This window comes from Homo sapiens, chromosome 2, assembly GCF_000001405.40.
Source record: "Homo sapiens chromosome 2, GRCh38.p14 Primary Assembly".
NCBI lineage: Eukaryota > Metazoa > Chordata > Mammalia > Primates > Hominidae > Homo > Homo sapiens.
Window position 1 is genome coordinate 33,229,552 of NC_000002.12, and position 20,732 is coordinate 33,250,283.

The window sequence follows — 20,732 nt, forward strand, 5'->3', positions numbered from 1 at the left end:
GATTAATGTTTTGAATAATTTATATTAATAAAAATACCACTTTAGAAGTGATAGAAGTGCAAATTTGCAAGTAATCACTTGCTATCTATTTTGTATGTTAGAATGGAGACTTATTCAAGTAATTGCATGAGTTTTTTTGCATTTTCCTCTGTCGGTACGGCTGACTGACCCTTAGCAAACTTTGTTCATACTGAGCATATTAGATGGTTCTGCCTTAGTCAATTCGCTGATGGTCTACTGGTAACACCAAATCCTGGCTTAGGTCTCTGGAGGATATTTGTAAAGCAGTGTTATACTTTTTGGCAATGATTCTAAAGTGAAGTAACACACAAAATTCTATTTCATGGGTCCTCAAGGAGGCACTGCTAAATTACATTACAAAGGCATTTGACTCATAATATGATTTCATTCAGTAAATCTATTGAAATTACTATTGAGAGAAGGGCTTAATTTCACTCCCTTTGTGATATTGATGGTCAGTAAAATGAAATCGAACTTGCTCACATTACATATGTACATTCAGTTTTCCTAGAACCTTGAAGCTTTTTGATTTTGTTTTCCTAAAGGTTTTCAAAAGGAGCCCATTTAGCATCTAATTGCTTGTGCCTTCCACATTGTTCTTACAGTCTAATGTCTTCTCAGTTTACAAAGCACTTTTAAAATTAAAGTGGTTAATAACTAGAATTACATTATTTCCTTCAACTAAGTGAACTAATGTCCTGAAACAACTTTTACTAATGTGCACTCAGTAACAAAGAACCAACTGTATACATGTTAATTTGAGGAGCTTTCAAATAATTGCCCTCAAAGTTGTTTTTTTTCCTCCTCTCTAGTGGTGCTGCAATTATCTTTTCAAAGGGATGATTTATTACATATACACACATGGAGCTCCAAAACAGCCTTGCTACTCTCAGCATTATGGAATTGTTATAATTTGCTTCATTTATCATAACAAACAATATAGTTATATGCTCTGATGGATCTAGAGCAGCATTTGTCATTTGATTATTATGCTATAAAGGTCTGATGTAGAACTAGAATTAAATGAAATAATACTAAGAGCTCCTACGTCCATGCTGCTTTTCTTTAATACTCAGTCCTTCCCTGAGTGGAAATACTGAGTACCCTCTTTTGTCCATATTTTGCCATAAGTGGGTTCTTAAAAAGTTAGATGTAAATCTAAGTTTCAAAAATAGAATTTGGTTCTGAAAGTACTTGGGGAATCAGTCTGTTGAGTGATTTTATTAAAAGCAAGTATCTCTTTTGACATACCAAAGTCACTTACCAGTTTCAGTTTACAAGGATAAAATCAACTTAGTATTATTTGCTACATTTTTGGCACGTACTGTGGGCAATACCACAGTACCTCAGTACGTGCTGAATGTAATTAAAAGACATCTACACTTTTATAATTCAGTGTATGTATATTCGTTTTTCATAGATCATCTCGAAGACTTTTTAAATGACTCAGTATTCCACAAACATTAATCGCTGGGGCACTCCTAGCTATAGACTGAAAGTATGTGTGATGAATGATGGGTAAGACATTGTTCCTGCCCTTAGAATTTAGTGTAATGAAATCACTTTGAATGAGCAGGATGCAATGTGCTTTATTTACTCTTCGAACTAGCTGAATTTTAGCTGGCTCCCTATGAGCCCGTTAAAGGAAATAGGAAAGAGCTAGCCACATAACTTTCTTTCAGCATCGTTTTATTATACTCGTTCTGCTTTAATAAAATAAATTTATGAAACCGATACATTGAGGCACAAGAATACTCATTACCAAAACTTTCAGCCTAGGCTCCTTTTAGATAAAAAGTTCCTCGGAGTGCATCTGAAATCACATTTTGTTTGGACAAAAGAAGAGATAATGTACCTGTTTTCAGGGGGCATATCTGTTATTAAATGAGACTCCACAGTCTTGATCAATATTCTGCATAAGGACTTTTTGGCTACAAAGCGCTTGTCTGGACTGTAGCTTGCATTTCAGACCTCTTCTTAATGATTACCAAAAAAATACTGAGTGTGAACTGCAGTACTGTGAGCAGGTAAAGGCAGATTGGTCTTTGAATGCTTTGAGAACCCTAGATAAATGAGCACTAGAAAGTGCAGGTGAGACCCCCAAGAAAGCCTGCCTGGCTGGAGAAAAGAATGTGTCTTGTAGCATAGTGCTGGATTAAAACAGACATGTAGAATGAGGTGAAATGATTGAGAATCTTAAGGCAAAGCTCTTATAATTAATCGAACCATTTGCATGCAATTAATTATGGGCTTTGTGATACGTGCTGGGAAAACACTTACTGGATTTGTTCTGCTTTTAACATAATGTTAAAGAAAAATATTGTTTATAACATTTGTTAAAGAACAGTAAGACAGATTTTATTCAGGTAACTGTTGTAACAGGTATAAGAACTACTGCAGTGGAGTTTTGGGGTAGGGGAGAGAGATTGGGCTCAACTCTGAAAATAAGGAAAAGTAAAAGTGTATCACCAAGGAGTGAGGGTGAGAGTGTGATATCAGTGGATGAAAAATTACTAAGAGGACACATGAGGGGTAAGGGGGGATTCTGGCTCAACCATCCTAGGAGGGTATTCTTGCTGAAGGCAGATCAGGGTGACCAGACATTACCTAGGGGTTGGTGGAAGATGAGGAACCCAATCAGATATCCAGCATGGGGGATTCTGGCTAAACTAACTTAAGAGGATATTAGCTAAAACTGGACAATGCAGAGACAAATACAGAAGCATACATGAAGTCAGAGCTAGTTGAGAAGAGGGTTCAGAGGAGCCTGACTAGAGTTTGATCAAGGAGAGCATCTTTGTCGATGGAACACTGAAAGGCCATTATGGCAACCTCTTGGATATTTGAAAGAAAATGGATTTGTGGCTTAGACCAGAGTCATTATTTTACAGGTATTGTCAAAGGTGTACCTAATGGAAATAAAGCCTTTTTCCCTCATATAGCTAATAGTTAAATGAATTTACTGTCATTTTTCTGATGGCAGTATTTCTTGTATCCTGTGCTTGTTTCCTGCATTTGTTTCTTCTTTTGGGGAGGATTTGCCAAATAAAATCCAGAACCCAGTTAAATTTGAATTTCAGATAAACAACAAATAGGTTTTTAAAGTAAGTACATCTCAAATTATTTATTTGAAATTCAAATTTGACTGCTATCTTGTATTTTTATCTGGTTAATCTGTATTTTGAGGTTATATTCTTTAACAGATCCTTTAGTGAGGGTCACTAAAGTATATACTTTATGTGTCTGAAAATATCTTTATTTTGCACTCATTTTATAATGAGACTACTCGTGTGTACAATTCCAGGTTGATAGTTGTTTTCTAGTGGTGCTTGACTACATTATACCAAAGTCTTCTGACTTCTGTGTTTTGACACCTCTTCCTTTGTAGATAATGTGTTTCTCTCTTTTGAGATAATCTCCTAATTCTTTATGTTCTGTAGTTTTATCATTATGTGTCTATATTTAGATTTATCTTTATTTTACTCAGTGTAATGTCACTCTGAAAACTCATGTCTTTCCTCAAATTTGAAAAGTGTTCACCTATTATGTCTTCAAATATCACTTTCCACCATGCTTTTCTGCTGAAACTCTCATTAAACAAAAGTTGGAGTGTGTTTTTCATGGCTCTTAAAAAATCTTTTGTCTTTTTATTCTCTTTTTCGCTGCATTTTGAATGGTTATCTCAGTTCCATTTTCCAATTTTCTAATTTCTGCTTTACTATGCCCATCTAGGCTTTATCTCATTTGTTACATTTTTAATTTTAAGACTGTTTTTCATTTCCAAGGTTTCTAATAAATTATTGTTCATAGCTACCTGTTCTTGTTTTATATTGTTTAAGTATTCATTTAACTGGTTAAGGTATGCTAAAAATCCTTAAAGAATCTTGGTAAGACCATTTCGTAAAATTATTCTCATCTAGAGAATATTTGTGTTCAAATCATTGGCTTCAATTAGTTTCTTAGCAAACAAGCATTAAAATTTTTAATTGGGTTGATAAGCTCACTTTGAATCAGAAGTTTATTTTCATCCTCCCCACCCTTTTCCTTTTTCTGTCTAGCAATTTTATGGAAATTTCCACTTGGAGTTTGGGGCCGTTGGTCTAGAGCTAGATTATAATGATAGCTTCTGACCCATGGAGCTTTTCTTTTTATGATACTGTTTGCATAAGAATGTGATAATTTTCCTTTTTCTAATATTAGTAAATTTACTTTTTGTTCATGATTGCCTTACACAACTTTTCAATCTACTTATTTATATATTTTGCTAACTTTTTTTTTATTTTTATTTTTTATTTGTTTATGTTAACTTTTGTTGAATGACTATTCAGTGGAGCCATTGTGTTAAGTACATTGGAGACAACCTTGTGAGATAAGTAGTGGTTTGTGTGTGTCTGTGTGTGTATGTGTGTAGCTCCCTCTTTTCTAGAGCTTATCACTACCCTTTCAACTTCAGATCAATTTTATCTTACGAACTTTCAAATAATTCAGTAAGTGTTTTCTTTAGTGTCTGGCTTCTTTCACTCAACAGTATATGGCCAGCACAATTTTTATTTTTAGAATTCTGCCTTATAAAGTGAAAATATCCATTGATGTTTTTATTTAAACACCTTTTCCCCTCTTCCATCTTGTTCTTCTCTGACTTCTCTGCTTAGACCCCATTGCCCCAAAGTTACAGCTTTGTCTCTAAAGTTGCCTTCAGTTGCATTATCATAAGTGAGTTGCTATGTTTATTTCTTTCTAGAAGGTTTTTGGGAATATATAAGAGAGTGATGTGGGCATAAAGATGAAACTTAGACGAGATCGGGCACATTCAGGGTGGTATGGCTATAGACACGAGCATTCCTATACACCAATAATAGACAGACAGAGAGCCAAATCATGAGTGAACTCCCAGTCACAATTGCTACAAAGAGAATAAAATACCTAGGAATACAACTTACAAGGGATGTGAAGGACCTCTTCAAGGAGAACTACAAACCACTGCTCAAAGAAATAAGAGAGGACACAAACAAATGGAAAAACATTCCATGCTCCTGGATAGGAAGCATCAATATCGTGAAAATGGCCATACTGCCCAAAGTAATTTATAGATTCAATGCTATCCCCGTCAAGCTACCATTGACTTTCTTCACAGAATTAGAAAAACTACTTTAAATTTCATATGGAACCAAAAAAGAGCCCGTATAACCAAGACAATCCTAAGGAAAAAGAACAAAGCTGGAGGCATCACACTACCTGACTTCAAACTGTACTACAAGGCTACAGTAACTGTATATGCAGAAAACAGAAACTGGACCCCTTCCTCACACATTATACAAAAATTAACTCAAGATGGATGAAAGACTTAAATGTAAGACCTAAAACCATAAAAACCCTAGAAGAAAACATAGGCAATACCATTCAGGACATAGGCATGGGCAAAGACTTCATGACTAAAACACCAAAAGCAATGGCAAAAAAAGCCAAAATTGACCAATGGGATCTAATTAAACTAAAGAGCTTCTGTACAGCAAAAGAAACTATCATCAGTGCAAACAGGCAAACTACAGAATGGGAGAACATTTTTGCAGTCTATCCATCTGACAAAGGGCTAATATCCAGAATCTACAAAGAACTTAAGCAAATTTACATGAAAAAAATCAAACAACTCCATCAAAAAGTAGGTGAAGGATACGAACAGACACTTCTCAAAAGAAGACATTTATGCAGCCAACAAACATGAAAAAAAGCTCATCATCACTGGTCATTAGAGAAATGCAAATCAAAACCACAATGAGATACCATCTCACGTCAGTTAGAATGGCGATCATTAAAAAGTCAGGAAACAACAGATGCTGGTGGAGAGGATATGGAGAAATAGGAACGTTTTTACACTGTTGGTGGGAGTGTAAATTAGTTCAACCATTGTGGAAGACAGTGTGGTGATTCCTTAAGGATCTGGATCCAGAAATACCATTTGACCCAGCAATCCCATTACTGGGTATATACCCAAAGGATTATAAATCATTCTACTATAAAGACACATGCACACATATGTTTATTGCAGCACTGTTCACAATAGCAAAGACTTGGAACCAACCCAAATGCCCATCAATGATAGACTGGATGAAGAAAATGTGGCACATATACACCATGGAATACTATGCAGCCATAAAAAAGGATGAGTTCATGTCCTCTGCAGGGACATGGCTGAAGCTGGAAACCATCATTCTTAGCAAACTAACACAGAAGCAGAAAACCAAACACCACATGTTCTCACTCATAAGTGGGAGTTGAACAGTGAGATTACATGGACACAGGGAGGGGAACATCACACACTGGGGCCTGTTGGGAGGTGGTGGGCTAGGGGAGGGATAGCATTAGGAGAAATACCTAACGTAGATGGCGGGTTGATGGGTGCAGCAAACCACTATGGCACTTGTATACCTATGTAACAGACCTGCACATTCTGCACGTGTATCCAAGAACTTAAATATAATTTTTAAAAAAGATGAAACTTAGAATATATTGTTCTTGGTATATGTTTTGGAAATAATAGTAGAAAACCAACAGGTAAGAACTAAGACTGCGGTCAACCAGACTTGATAATTCTGTTCTTCAAAACACTTAGAAATGTTTAATATTCCTTTTGTTTAGCCTGCCAGAGGTTAATCATAATTTTCTATTGTATTTTCATTTAATCTCAGAAACTGTCATGTACTTAGTTTGATGCCAGATCATGTTTTACAGTGGTCAATGGCTCAGTGGGAACTGATAGATAATTTACTGATTTGAAGGTGTTAACTGTTCTGGTCATCCTCTTAGAACTACTGCTGCACTTTCTAGTTTAAATGTGCACAGTATTTTCAGTAAGAATTTAAACAGTTTTTGATCTGGACCTGAGCACCCTATTTCAGCATTTGCAAATCAAATTGGGACCCATTCCTGTGCATTTTAGAATTATTTTTCTGGTGTGTCCTCTTACTATGCTGGGATAGGTTTCAAAAAGGAAATGTCTGTTTATTTTATTAACTCTTCCTCAGGAAAGACAGTGGTGAAGTGAGTCATTAGCACATTGTATTTTTCAATAGCTCTTTGACCTTAATCTCTGTGGCTATAAAATGAATGGGAAGATGCCTACTGTATTATGAGTGATGAAGAAAGCCCATGATGGATTCATGTTACTGTGAATATTTCAAGGAGAAGTTAATGTAATATCTGTAGACTACAGTCATGAATCCAAGACCAACAGAGTAAGTGTGTGTTGCTAGCAGCGTCGTCCATGTGTAGCACACATGTGTCAAGAAATAAATACAAGCTGTTCTCTGGGCTCTGATAATTCCTTTATCATGTTACCCCGAAGACAGAAGAATTGGAAGGAAAGGAGTTGCTGCCACAGTGGTTTGACTTTTTTCAGTGAGTCCAGTGATTGAATCCATCCTATGGTGGATGGTCATTTTATAATCATGGGACAGTTACAGGGTGGTGGGTAGGCTTTTAATGGCAGTGGGGCCTAGATAGAAGCAAATATAATCACGAAGAGACTCATACAATAGTCTTTGAAGCTGGCCCCAGAGAGCAGCATTTCACAAAAATGTTTCCACAGATGACCAGTTCAGAAGGATGTTAATAGATTGTGTGTTAAAAAGGGTCCCACAGCCAAATGTGCAGAAAAACCAAGTTAAACACAGAAAAACAAGAGATTTTGCCAAAGGACTCTTCGGGTTTTAAATATGCTTATGTATATAGAATAGGCAGTGTTTCTCAAACATATTTGGCTGCAGAACCCCTCTTTTAGCAGAGGTCTCACAAAGTCTGTGTTTTGTGTAAAATACCTTGGGTAAAATTGCTCTAGAACATTGGTTTTCAAATATTTTTTTCTTAATCTCCTAGAATAATTTTGAAAAAGTTATGTGTTCACATATCTTTAAGCTGACATCTACATTTTCATTAAAAAGTCAAGTGGATACAATAGGTTAATTTCTGGCACATTTATATTGTATGTGTGCATTAAATAATTTCATCAAAACTTTGGAGCTGCAGAATTGGTTCATGCCATTGATAAACAGTCTCTGCCATTTAACCTAATTGGTAAAGCCAGATCTTCTTATGAAAGAAATCGGACTCATTACTTTTTCTGTGACTCTATCCTGGGGTTGATATATTTGTGAATTGTTCATTTATTCTGTGCCTGTGAGAATTTTACCTTTCAAGACAGTGTTCTTAGAAAGGCCTAGAAAGATTCTGGATTGACAAGAGGTATGCCTTGACTTGGTCAAGAGCAAGAAGGCCCTGAGGAAAGGGGAAGATAGGAAAGGAAGATTGGCAAATATATTCTTAGGCAGATGACTTCAAAAAGAAACATCTGAAGGCTGAAGATCTATAGATTAGTTCCCTTAAAAGTGTCTAAGCCTGTGTGTACCCTATAGAATATCTTCATGTTCCTTCGTGGTATGTCTACCCAGTGCAAAGTTGTTCTTTGGAAGTTTAAGAAATATATATATTGTCTAAGTGATCCTTATTAAATAACTTAATAGTCTGTCTGGGAAAAGTATTTGTATTAAGAGGTATTTTTCTGCTTTCAAGTGGAAGGCATACTGCTAATGGAATTCTGTCATGGAATTTATATTTACTAGCAAAAGCTGAACACACACAGATGAATCTCCAGAAAGCTTCATATTTTCACACAGTAGAAAGATGCTCATGTCCTGTTCTTACCTTGTCCTGACTCCTGTTGGACATGCCTCATTTCCTGTATAAACTTGCGTCACTAAGAAGACAGTAAATTCTTACTCACTTTGTTAAACATACATACTTTCCTGTAGGAGAAGAGATGCATAAAAATATATTTATTTCCCAGAAGGGCACTTGTGCTGTTCGTAATATATTATGCACCAAATGTCATACTTTCTTTATTCCCTGGCATTTTCAGCCCTGGCAACTGGCAGATTGTTTTGAAGTCAGAGAATATTTAAACTACAAGTAACCTTGGGGATAATATAGTTCAGCCCCTCTGTGTTACAGGAGAGGACACTGAGATCAAGAGAAACTCAGAGACTTGCTCTGGGTAACATAACATTTTGTCCTAGTTGGACCAAAAGCTAGATCTTAGTGGAATATTCCTCCTATTATTTTCCCCCATCCTCTCCATCCTTTTTAGAAATATGGCCTTGGACGAAATTATCTCTGTAAAATGGAATAATTATTCTTGTACTGCTCACCATCCAGAATTGTTGTGAAGTTCCAGTGAGATACGGTGTGCTATAGAAATGTAAAGAATCCTGATGAGGTAGAAGGAAGATGAAGGTCCTCACTTCATCGTCACCTTATCGCATCATTCCCATGTACTGAAATACTTAGGCTGTTTTATGTTGGGTTGTTCATAGGGAGTCTCTTGTTATGCATGTATACCTGATTACTTTATATTCTTCTACTACCTGGTTAATAAAAGCCCAGCCCTCTTATTTCTGTTGTATTAGTTTGAACCATAGGACATTGCCAATATTTGACCATTTTAGAAGAAGAGCAGTTTTAGAAGAAAAGCAGTTTTGTGTTCCTGAACTTCATCTGTGAGCTGAAGTATGTGGTAGGCTATACAGGCAGAGATACCTGTAAATGTTTTAAATAAGTGGAAAAGTATGTAAAGCTCCTTCATGTTAGCTGTAGTAGCTTCATGGATTTTGCCTACTCCAGAGGAGCACATGGGTCCGTATGAATTTCTTTCCTAGTTTCTGTTTCTGTAAACTTCTAGACTGCCTGCCTGAACACAAAAGCTCAGATGGGGATAGGGAATGGTGACTGGCTGTATGTGGGTGCTGAGCCCCTTCAGCCATTTATTTTGGCCTTCATTCTTTAACTCAGGAAGTTGTTCTGTATGCAGTGGTTATACCACTTCTTCAAAGGACAGACTTCCACAGTTTTCCAGAGAAATTTGTCATCTATAGAGGGAGAACAAGGAATAAATTCATGTATTTTTCAAACTAAATATTAAAATACTTTTGATTTAGTTAGAATCTGTTGAGGAAGGTTTGTTGACGCTTTAAAATATGAGACTTGGCCGGATGCAGTGGCTCACACACTTTGGGAGGCTGAGCACTTTGGGAGGCCGAGGTGGGCGGATCACTTGAGGTCAGGAGTTCAAGACCAGCCTGGCCAACATGGTGAAACCCTGTCTCTACTAAAAATACAAAAAAAAAAAAAAAATTAGCTGGGCATGGTGGCATGTGCCTGTAATCCCAACTACTCAGGAGGCTGAGGCAGGAGAATCGCTTGAACCTGGGAGGCGAAGGTTGCAGCGACCTGAGATTGTGCCGCTGTACTCCAACCTGTGTGACAGAGTAAGACTCCATCTTAAATAAATAAATAAATAAATAAATAAATAAATAAAAATATGAGACTCCTGAAACACTATATTGTTATTTGAATTTATTCCTTCACAAATAAGCTATTTATAAAATGACAAATATTGTAATCAGGTTTTATTTGATTAAAGAAAGAAGATAGCTTTAGGCAATGAAGTCCAAATAGAATTCTGGTTTACCATTCACCCGTCACGTTCCATACAGTTGTTAAGTCTGAATAGAATTACGGTTTACCATTCACCCATCATGTTCCATACAGTTGTTAAGTCTAAATAGAATTATGGTTTACCATTCACCCATCACGTTCCATACAGTTTTTAAGTATAAATAGAATTCTGCTTTACCATTCACCCATCACATTCCATACAGTTGTTAAGTCTAAATAGAATTCTGGTTTACCATTCACCTATCACGTTCCAAACAGTTGTTAAACTTTGGCCTGATGATGTCATCACTTGGAATGTTCTTCTCTCATCCAGATACAATGCGTTCAGTTCAACCAATGCTTTGTTCTTAACGTGTTTGTGAGTCTCTGACATCCTTTACTTTAATTTAGAAAGCTTGTGACTACCTGTCTAGGAAAAATCACTTAGGCAGTTGCTCCTGTTTCTTAATAATTAGAAATGTCTTATTAATTTATTAATTTCTGAAGTCCTATGTTAAAATTATGGGGATAAGTTGTTTGTTGGCTGGGAAGGGGCACAAAGAACCTTCTCAGGTGATGGAAACATTCTTTTTTTTTTTTTTTTTTTTTTTGAGACGGAGTCTTGCTCTGTCGCCCAGGCTGGAGTGCAGTGGCGCGATCTCGGCTCACTCCAAGCTCCACCTCTCAGGTTCACGCCATTCTCCTGCCTCAGCCTCCTGAGTAGCTGGGACTGCAGGCACCTGCCACCACGCCTGGCTAACTTTTTGTATTTTTAGTAGAGACGGGGTTTCACTGTGTTAGCCAGGATGGTCTCGATCTCCTGACTTCGTGATCTGCCCACCTCGGCCTCCCAAAGTGCTGGGATTACAGGCGTGAGCCACCGCGCCCGGCCAGAAACGTTCTTAATCACAATCTGGGTGGTGGTTACACCACAAGTAGATATGCAAAAATTCATCTAGTTGTATACTTAAGATTGATATATTCTAGTGTATATACGTTAAATATAGGAAACAGAAATCTAATCTCTAATTTGTAGTAGCTCAGGAAATATAAAAAAATAGATGAACCAAGGCAGTTGAAGGAAACAGTTTTTCTGGAAGCTGTGAGAATGTGTCACAAAGGAAGGCCCAGGCTTCCTGGGTTCTTCGGGCCAAAATTAGGGGAAGTGTTGGTGCCAGTGCCGGTGGCACAAGCTGATTAAAACAGTCATAACAGGAAGAGTCTTACACGATTCTTCGTCTTTGTGGATGTTTCTGTTTCTTCCTGTCTATACCTGATAGGTTTGCTTGGTCATTTTGTTTGTTTTCTTCCGTCTGAATTCCTGTCCTCCATTCCCATGGCATCAGAGTCAAGGCAGTAAGCAGTGTGGAGAGTCAAAGAAGGGGCATTGGAAGAGGGTACTAGGCATTGGTTGTAAATCAGGTATTTATGAGTCTGGGGGGAAACCTCTACATTAACCTGGCAGCCAGCCGCAAGGCTGAGATGGTGCTGTTATAGAAACCACCTAGCAAGGGAAAATTCTGGGTCCTCAATCTTATCATGGAATGTGTAGTGGTGCAGCCAATGAACAGGAATACAGGCCATTCAGGGGAAGAGGAATGCTAATAATCATACCCTAGTGAGGATATGAGGGGAAATAGAAGAGTGGAAATTTTGTCCAGCCTTCTTGACCACAACTGGCTGGTTACCCAAACTTGAGGTTTTACTTGGGACATATAATAGGGCTTCACTTGTACCGTGTAAGCTCCAACTGGACTTGGCACTCTTCCTGGTCCTTCATGGTGGTTTTCTTAAAAAGAATGAGTTACGGGGGAATATTTTCAGTTACATGCTGTACATAAAAGTGCATTACAGAACAACACACACTTCAATAAATAATGAGATGGTCAGGTGCTGTACTGTGTGCCGTACCAGGTGTCATCTAGCTGTAGCAGTTTCCAGCTACGTGCAAGTTGGAACACCATAGAATTTATACAGCAAATATGCATTAACTTATCATTTGAATGTCACGGAAGGTATCATATTTTATCACTGAAATTAACTTAAAAATTGCATGCTCTGAGTAAAATATGTACGTATAGATCACGATGCCTACTTAGAACATGAAATATTGATGTTCATATAATGTTAATATTTGCTTAAATAGTGATTGAGGGCTGTATTTTCTTTTTATGTGATGATCCTGATAGTAATGTTTTGCTACCATTGTATCCAACTTTTTGATTTTCAATTAATTACCTTTGCAAGTGACTATATAATCTTTCTTTGTAAAATCACTTCATTTATATCTCTCCTCTTTCAAATCGCTTTGATTTCCCCCTGGATCTCCATATGCAGAGTATCTTAAGTGTCTATTTGTAGCAGTGATTTCCTCTTTCACTGTATTTCTGAATCTTCTGCTGCTACTGGGTATTTCTACTTGGGTATCCCAATGTGACCTTGAACTATAAAACTGAACTCCTCTTCTTCCTGCCTTCTTTCTTCCTCAGAACTCCTTCCGCAAAACCAGCTGTGATTTTTTTTTCCTTTTTTCTTAGATTAGGAGCCTCCCAGACATCCTTGACTCCTTTCTCTTACTTTCTCATGATGTGTAGTCCAGTCAAGCACCATGCATTTTCAGTTGTTCTTAAAAAAAAAAAAAAAAAAGATTTGTCCATTCTTTATCTTCCTGATTGTTCTCACTGTCACCAGCCTGGCTGTTACCAACCTCATACTTGCATGACCCCTTCAAGTGATCAGACTTTTAATCTCTTCTCAACAAGCCATGTGTTGGCCAGGTGAATTTTCCTAGAGTCTGTCTTTGAGTCTTTCTTTCTCCTGCTCAGAAACCTTTAGTATATAGCTCCCTGTTCTCAATGAAACTGAATCCAAATGCAGCCTGAATTGTACCAGCTCTGTTTCCAACTATTTACCTTCCTGAATCTTCTTTTCCAGCCAGTGGTTTGACTCATCATTTCCTGAGCCTCCATCCACTGGCCACACTCTGTGCTCAAGCTCCAGGGTTTCCCACACAAGTCATTCCTTCCCTTCCTCGCCCATCCATCCAGCTCCTGCCCAGACATCAGCACTCTAAAGCCTTACCTCCTCCTCAGTGCCACAGTCTGCCCCACCTCCAGCTTCCTTCTGTGGCTTTTACTGTCTGTATAGGCAATTTCATAATTTAACTTCTAACAGTTTATGACAGTTCTTTCTTGTGATGACTTGGACTGCTTTTCACTTCTTAAGTTTTTCAAATATTCATATGTATAGTTAGACTGTCAGTGCTTCTAGAGTGAGAGTCTTTGCCTTACCTATATGCTCCATAATGCCTAACATAAACTAACACTAAAGCAAAAGCTCTGTGAAGGCCAGAATTTTTATCAGTTTTTTTCACTAGTAAATCCTTAGCACCTGGCATGTAGTAGGTATGTAATAAATATTTGCTATATAAATTGTAAATGTTCAATAAACATTAACTGATTTAAGATTATTCACACCTGCTACATCCTTTTTTCACTATAACTAAAAGATTACTATAGTGAAAAAGGAAGTGAATGCAATGTATAGCCAGAATCTGCTCAATGGGGCTTGACTGCTCCTTCTAAAGAATTGTGTTTTCCTGCAGATATTAATGAATGTCAGCTACAAGGTGTATGCCCTAATGGTGAGTGTTTGAATACCATGGGCAGCTATCGATGTACCTGCAAAATAGGATTTGGGCCGGATCCTACCTTTTCAAGTTGTGTTCGTAAGTAATAATCACTTTTTATTCCTGTTTTGGATTAATTGTCTTTGGGGTTTTTCCAAAAGAACGGAAATACTCAGTGGCCAACTGAATGCTTGTAAATATACAGGAAAACCTCATTAATTAAAATAACAAGCAAGGGGCCTGCCTGATGTAGTAAAATAAATTGATATCATGGAACCTTCTCTAAAATGCATTTTTATTGTGGTGATAAAAATATAATAGCTAAAACTCTGAATAGAGACTAAGCACACCGAGGAAATATGCTTTGATGAAAAGAAAAGAGAGAATTAAAATGGACATATCAAACTTTTTTGGTACCTGAGAGATGACAGTAAGTTTTTCCTTCATAAATACGGTATTTTAAGCATTCTTTAGGTTGAATTGAACTGTGTCCCAGCTTCTGCCTTTAATTATTCCAAATTCTGAGTCACTGGACTCTGATTTAATGAGGTTTCACTTCTTTCTCAATTGTAAGAGTCTGGAAAATAGTTACCAAGGCCCTGTGTTTTAGATTTTCTAATTCAGTCCTAATTTCAGATATTGTCTTGTTCTTTAAACCCACCAAAATGACCCTAAATTATACTGTTTTGCCTTAAAAATGTTTCTGAGATTTTCCCTTGTTTCTGATAAGGGTAAAAATCCTTCATTAAACCACATGTTCTAATATTGGTTCTGAAAGATAGTTTCACCAAAGAGATACTCCCTCTCCGTGTAAATTAATCCATGTAATCACTACAGATCATATGCCATTAGAGAGGAATGCATTTTAGGTGTAAAGTTCTCAAATGCAGATTTGAGATTTTTAAGAATGTCTTATTTTTAAAGTAATCATGCCCATTATTATAGGTAAGCACTGTAAGATTTTTTTTAAAGAGATGGGGTCTTGCTATGTTGCCTAGGCTGGACTCAAATGATCACTGTTCAGCCTGCTGAGTAGCATGACTATAGACATGGGCCTTGTAGCACTGCAGATTTTTAAAGATTATATACAATTTAAATGGCTGCATGGCAGAAAACTATTAGGATAATTTTAAGAACAACTGTGTATTAGTTTCTTTCCTGCAAGTTTTTGTTTTTATCTATCTATCTATCTATCTATCTATTTATTTTTGAGACAGAGTTTCACTTTTGTCACCCAGGCTGGAGTGCAATGGTGCGATCTCCACTCATTGCAACCTCTGCCTCCCGGGTTCCAATGATTCTCCTACCTCAGCCTCCCAAGTAGCTGGGATTATGGGCATGTGCTACCACGCCCAGCTAATTTTTTGTATTTTTAGTAGAGACAGGGTTTTGCCATATTGGTCAGGCTGGTCTTGAACTCATGACCTCAGGTGATCCACCCGCCTCAGCCTCCCAAAGTGCTGGGATTATAGGTGTGAGCCACCATGCCCGGCCACTTTTATTTATTTTTTAATGTGGCTTTGGTATATAATGAGCTGCATCTTTCTTGTCTAGTTTGAAATTTGCCATTTGGTTGACATGTTCTTCATGAGTTTACTGCCATTCATTTTTAACGAAGCTTATCTCTCTTAACTCTTTGCCCTAAGGTGAGATATGTAGAGGTGATAAAATAAAGACAAATGTAGTAAAATAAAAATGACAGTCTCATTTATTACTTTTAGGTGAGTTTGTTGAGTCTTTTGAAATGTTATCACTAATTACTACTCTTTTCCTTTAAAAACTGTCAACTGCAGATTAGGAAGTTTTACACGTAAGTCCTCTTTTCTGTGTTCTTTTACAAACAGTTCTGATCATGAAGCAGACAGACACCTAATTATAAGGCTTTCCTAACGGGTGGTAAAATTAGACCATAAAATTACATTTGCACACAAATTACCTTTGAAACTGATGCAAGGATTTGGAAATTTCAGGCCAAAAATCACATTGTTGATGACATCCAGATAACTTAGGGGATCATTTTTGGCTGATTTGAATCACATGAATAAATATGTTAAATCATTTTATAATTTAAATGTAAAGATTGTAGAGTTTGGATATAGAGTTTGTTGTGAATGCTTTTTCCACCCTTTTATAATTTGACTTGTAGTCTGGTTACAATTCTTATATTGAAGGTTGCTGATTAGGTAAACTTGCAGAACTAGTCACAAAACGCTCTGTGAAACTTTGACCAGATCTGATGTCTAGAGTTGAGGGCAGACATCCAGGTTTTAATAAGATTATAGAAATCTGCCAATGAGATTTTTGAAACACTTGCACATTTCCTTAGCATTTATTTTCCCTGTCATTGCCCAAATAATTCTGAACTTATTAAACAACCATCCATTCTTATTTGAAAAATAAATAATTCAATTTTATGGTTCAGCTACAACAGCTGAACTGATAAGTATTAAGAGACGTTTGTTGCTAGTTAAGTGTTCCAGTTGAGAGTTCGAAGTGAAAACCTGGGCTCTTTACCAGTGTTGAGTGAGAAGATTTATTTCTCTTTCCTCTGAATTTACCACATGTAACATCACAGAGACATGTAGAGTTCCTTTAGGATTTGCGATTTGAACCAGTCCAGTCTGATTTTCAGGTGAATTCTGTGAAGAGCTTGATGGGGGAAGTCTGAAGACAGAAGGAATTAGGGAAAAGGGTGATACTTACAGAGTAAAGGAAATAAATGAAAAGATAATGGTATTTTTGGTAGTCACAGGGAAATAGCAGGAGGGGACTGGAGATCACACACACGCACACGCACACACACACACACAGACACACACACAGGCACTCAACACAGTGGTTGCTAAATGTTTGCTCTGGAGAGAGAGAAAACCAGCCAGGGATGAAGCCTGCAGGCAAATGGAGGACAAATGACAACATTTGCTAGGACAGCATGAATTTAGGCCATATCCAGAGCATACAAGGTGTGGCTGACTCTCTGAACTCCTGCACATGGTTATGGCCAAGGAACAACGGGAAGCACTTTCTCTTCTTGAATGCACTGAACTGAGATGAACCCCCCAGAATTCCTTGACTGCAGCCAAAGGTTGCAACAATTTCACTTTCTCTCCTTGCCGCTTGCCTTGGCTTAGCCAAGCTAAAAGGAAGAAAGCAGGCAAATGCTGGCATTTGCTGCCTCTGACCTCTATGTTTGAGGCTTAGGATGGTGTAGGAGCATTCTCCAGACATGTTGCTACCTGATTTATGGGGAAAGGTGGAAATTCGAGGACTTTTCAGAGCAAATTCAAGAAAAGTATCATCTTTGCAATCCAAGTAGGAAGACTTTCTGGCTTTCTGAACTCCTGCAGGAACTTCAGAGCTCCAGGATGAGTGCTGCTGAGAATGTGTCCATAGGTTCAGTAAAAAGGCCCAGATAAAAGAATTCTGAGCCTGGGCTTTTGCCTTTTCGTAGTATTCTTCACCCATCAACTTGGAGCTAGTTGACAGAAATGGAGGGTTAGAGAGAAGATGTGCTCAGGAACTTCTGCCGTAGTCCTGGAAGTCATGAGAGAAAGGGCAAATGCCTTTTAATTAAGTACATCATTCATTTGTAATTTCCTGAGCATCTTTATGAGAAACATACCATGCTTATCTTATACATTGGGAAACTAAAGCTAGGAAAGTTTAAGTAGCTTCTCACACAGCTAGTAGCTGAGAGTTGAGATTTAAAACAGGATTTGTGCCTCCAAATTTAGGGTTCTAGATCAGGAGTTGGCAAATTATAGCCCATGGGAAAAAATCTGTTTGTTTTTGAAAATAAAGTTTTATTGGAACACAGCCATGTCCATTCATTTACTTATTGCCTAATGCTGCTTTTGTATTACAAAGACAGAGTTGAGAAGTTACAACAGAAATCATATGGCACACAAAGCCTAAAATACTTATTATCTGATGCTTGACAGAAAAAGTTTGCTGACGCTCAAGCTAATTAACACTGTCCAATAGAACTATCTGAGATGATGGAAATATTCTCTATCTGTGCCACCTCATACAGCAGCCACTAGTCATGTATGGCCTGTGTAACTGAGGAATTGAATTTTTACTTTTATTTAAATTTTATCCAAGGAGCAACATGTGGCTAGTGCCTAACATATTGAGTGGCGTAGTTTTGTATCCTTTTTGGCAAGCCAAATGGGTTAATTACTGCTAGCTTTCCAGCTTTTCCGTTAATATGGGCTTTCCTTCCAGACTTGATATTTTTTGCCCATGGTAACATTTTCTCCAGAGCACCCCGGCTGGGAGCCTGTGTCATCTTGGACTCTTTTGTATCTTTTGGTTTCAAAGGATGACATTTAGTCTTCATAATTTATCTTATGCCCGTTCTTTTCTTTCTACCTTCTCTGTGGCCATCTCAGGTTAGGCCCCTAGCCTCCCTCACTTGGAGGTCTCATGGCACCGTGGCCCGGAGGTGAGACAGATCTGTACAAGCTGCTTGCTCCCAGATAATTACAGTAAACAAAAACCATGACAATAATAATTTTTATTGCAAACTTCGTAAATGCCAGGCACTGTGCTAAGCACTTTATGTGAATTATCCCATATAATACTTACAAGATCTCTATTGGATTTGTTCTGTTATTTTTCCTAATTTAGAAATGAAGGAATTAAGGCATAGAGGGGTTAGGGATCTTTCCAACAGTCATACAGTCCATAAAGGGTAGAGCCCAGATTTGAAACTGGATCTGTCTCACTCCACAAGCTGAACCTTTAATCAAGAAATGGAAAAGTCTGAAATGCCAGGAGGAGTAAGTCATTTATTTAAGGAGAACTGACATTTTAATCTCACCTGCCACACTATAGAATAGGTGACGTAACTGCAATGGCCTTGAATTATTGTTTCTTTTATTTTGGTTCTCCACGAATTTTTTTTTTTTTTTTTTGAGAGGGAGTCTTGATCTGCTGCCCAGGCTGGAGTGCAGTGGTGCAATCTCAGCTTACTGCAACTTCCGCCTCCTGGGTTCAAGTGATTCTTCTGCCTCAGCCTCCTGAGTAGCTGGGATTACAGGCGTGCGCCACCACACCCGGCTAATTTTTGTATTTTTAGTAGAGATGGGGTTTCACCATGTTGGCCAGGCTGGTCTCGAACTCCTAACCTCACGTGATCCGCCCACCTCTGCCTCCCAAAGTGGTGGGATTACAGGCATGAGCCACCGCGCCCAGCCATGAAATGGTTTTTAATGACACATTTCCCAGAGTGCCCAGTGGTTCTTACTGCCCTAGGTAAGCTGCCTCTCAGACTCCTCAAAGCAGCTTTACCTGCTTCCTAGACCTGTATCCTAACACTCATCCCCATAGATACTAAGCTGTAAAGGGATTAAATGCTAATGTGGAATTTCATCCAAGAAATGATTAAGGATATTACAGATGTGGGTGGGAGTGATTGCAGACTAGTAAGGTTAGCTAGACTTTTAAACCCTTGCTCTTTTCTGAAATCCTCCCTACTTTTCAACTTCTTCTAAGTACCAGATTAATTAATATCTGCTTAATATTTGTCATTCACATTTTAACCCATTTATGCCTGGTGTTCCATTATTGGAATGCTGAGCTTGTGGGAGTTATTTATATCCTGCTCAAGGTCATCTCAGTAGGTCTGATTTTTCACACACACACACACACACACACACACACACACACACACACACATTTACAACCTCCAGCATAAATGGGTTAATACATTAGAGTAGTATGTCTTTGAAAGTATAATGTGAGTTTATTATACAATCCTATAATTAAGGCCATAATTAAATATAAGTTGCTTAATATATCACTGAGGAACCCGAATAATAGTATCTTAGCTTTTTACTCTTGTTTTGTAATTGAATTGCCATCACCATGGGCTGTATGGTTATGATTTGGTACTATACTTGGGTACAGAGCTATATGCTTGTTACCAGTTTGAAAATTTGTCTTATGTCTGTAGCCAAGAGCAAAAAAATTACTTTCCTGGTGGATGTGGCATTTTCAGTAGGTTTTATGCTTCTGAAGTGCTTTTCCTTTTAGATAAAGTATCAGAATCTTTTTGCCGTAATTTTAGTAACACATCCTGCACAAAATAGGATCTGACAAAGTACTGTTTCAGTGTACAAACATGTAAGAGCCTACAGGCACCCTTTATTATCACTCCTCAGTTTTATTCGATTCTACAGCTGCTTCCCCTATCCCTTAGAAATCTTTTGGTATTTCTAGTTTTCTTTAGTACAGCATAAAACCTTATGACTCAGTAGAATATATAATCACATGTACCATATTTTAAATAATAAACGTAGTACACTAATGTGTTATCCTTTACAATTAATCTTCCAGTCTGAGGTTAAAGATATTCAGACAATAACAACACCAATCACATCATTCTGGGTAGCATATTGTTTCTGGGTTTACGCATCATATTGACCGGAGTGTGAAAATACTAGAGATGTTTAATAAACAGAATGCAAGTCATTTGAAATGACAAAAAGAACAACAGGCAATTTAGGTCGTAAAATAGGGGCAGTTTTAAATGGCACACCCTGTCAGGTATATGTGGCATAAATGAACAGTTTTGGCTTCAAATAGTTGTAGA

The 20,732-nt window shown here is 37.6% G+C and overlaps 1 protein-coding gene across 65 annotated transcripts in view; it reads left to right on the forward strand.

Annotated features, from left to right (window-relative positions):
* LTBP1 (latent transforming growth factor beta binding protein 1) overlaps positions 1-20,732 on the forward strand; it is a 452,557-nt gene that overhangs the window by 282,599 nt on the left and 149,226 nt on the right. For all 65 annotated transcript variants that reach the window (XM_011532853.3, XM_011532857.3, XM_011532861.3 and 62 more), the window contains one exon: positions 14,111-14,233. In XM_011532853.3, the coding sequence (XP_011531155.1) occupies positions 14,111-14,233 (123 nt within the window). The remainder of the gene's footprint in view (positions 1-14,110; positions 14,234-20,732) is intronic.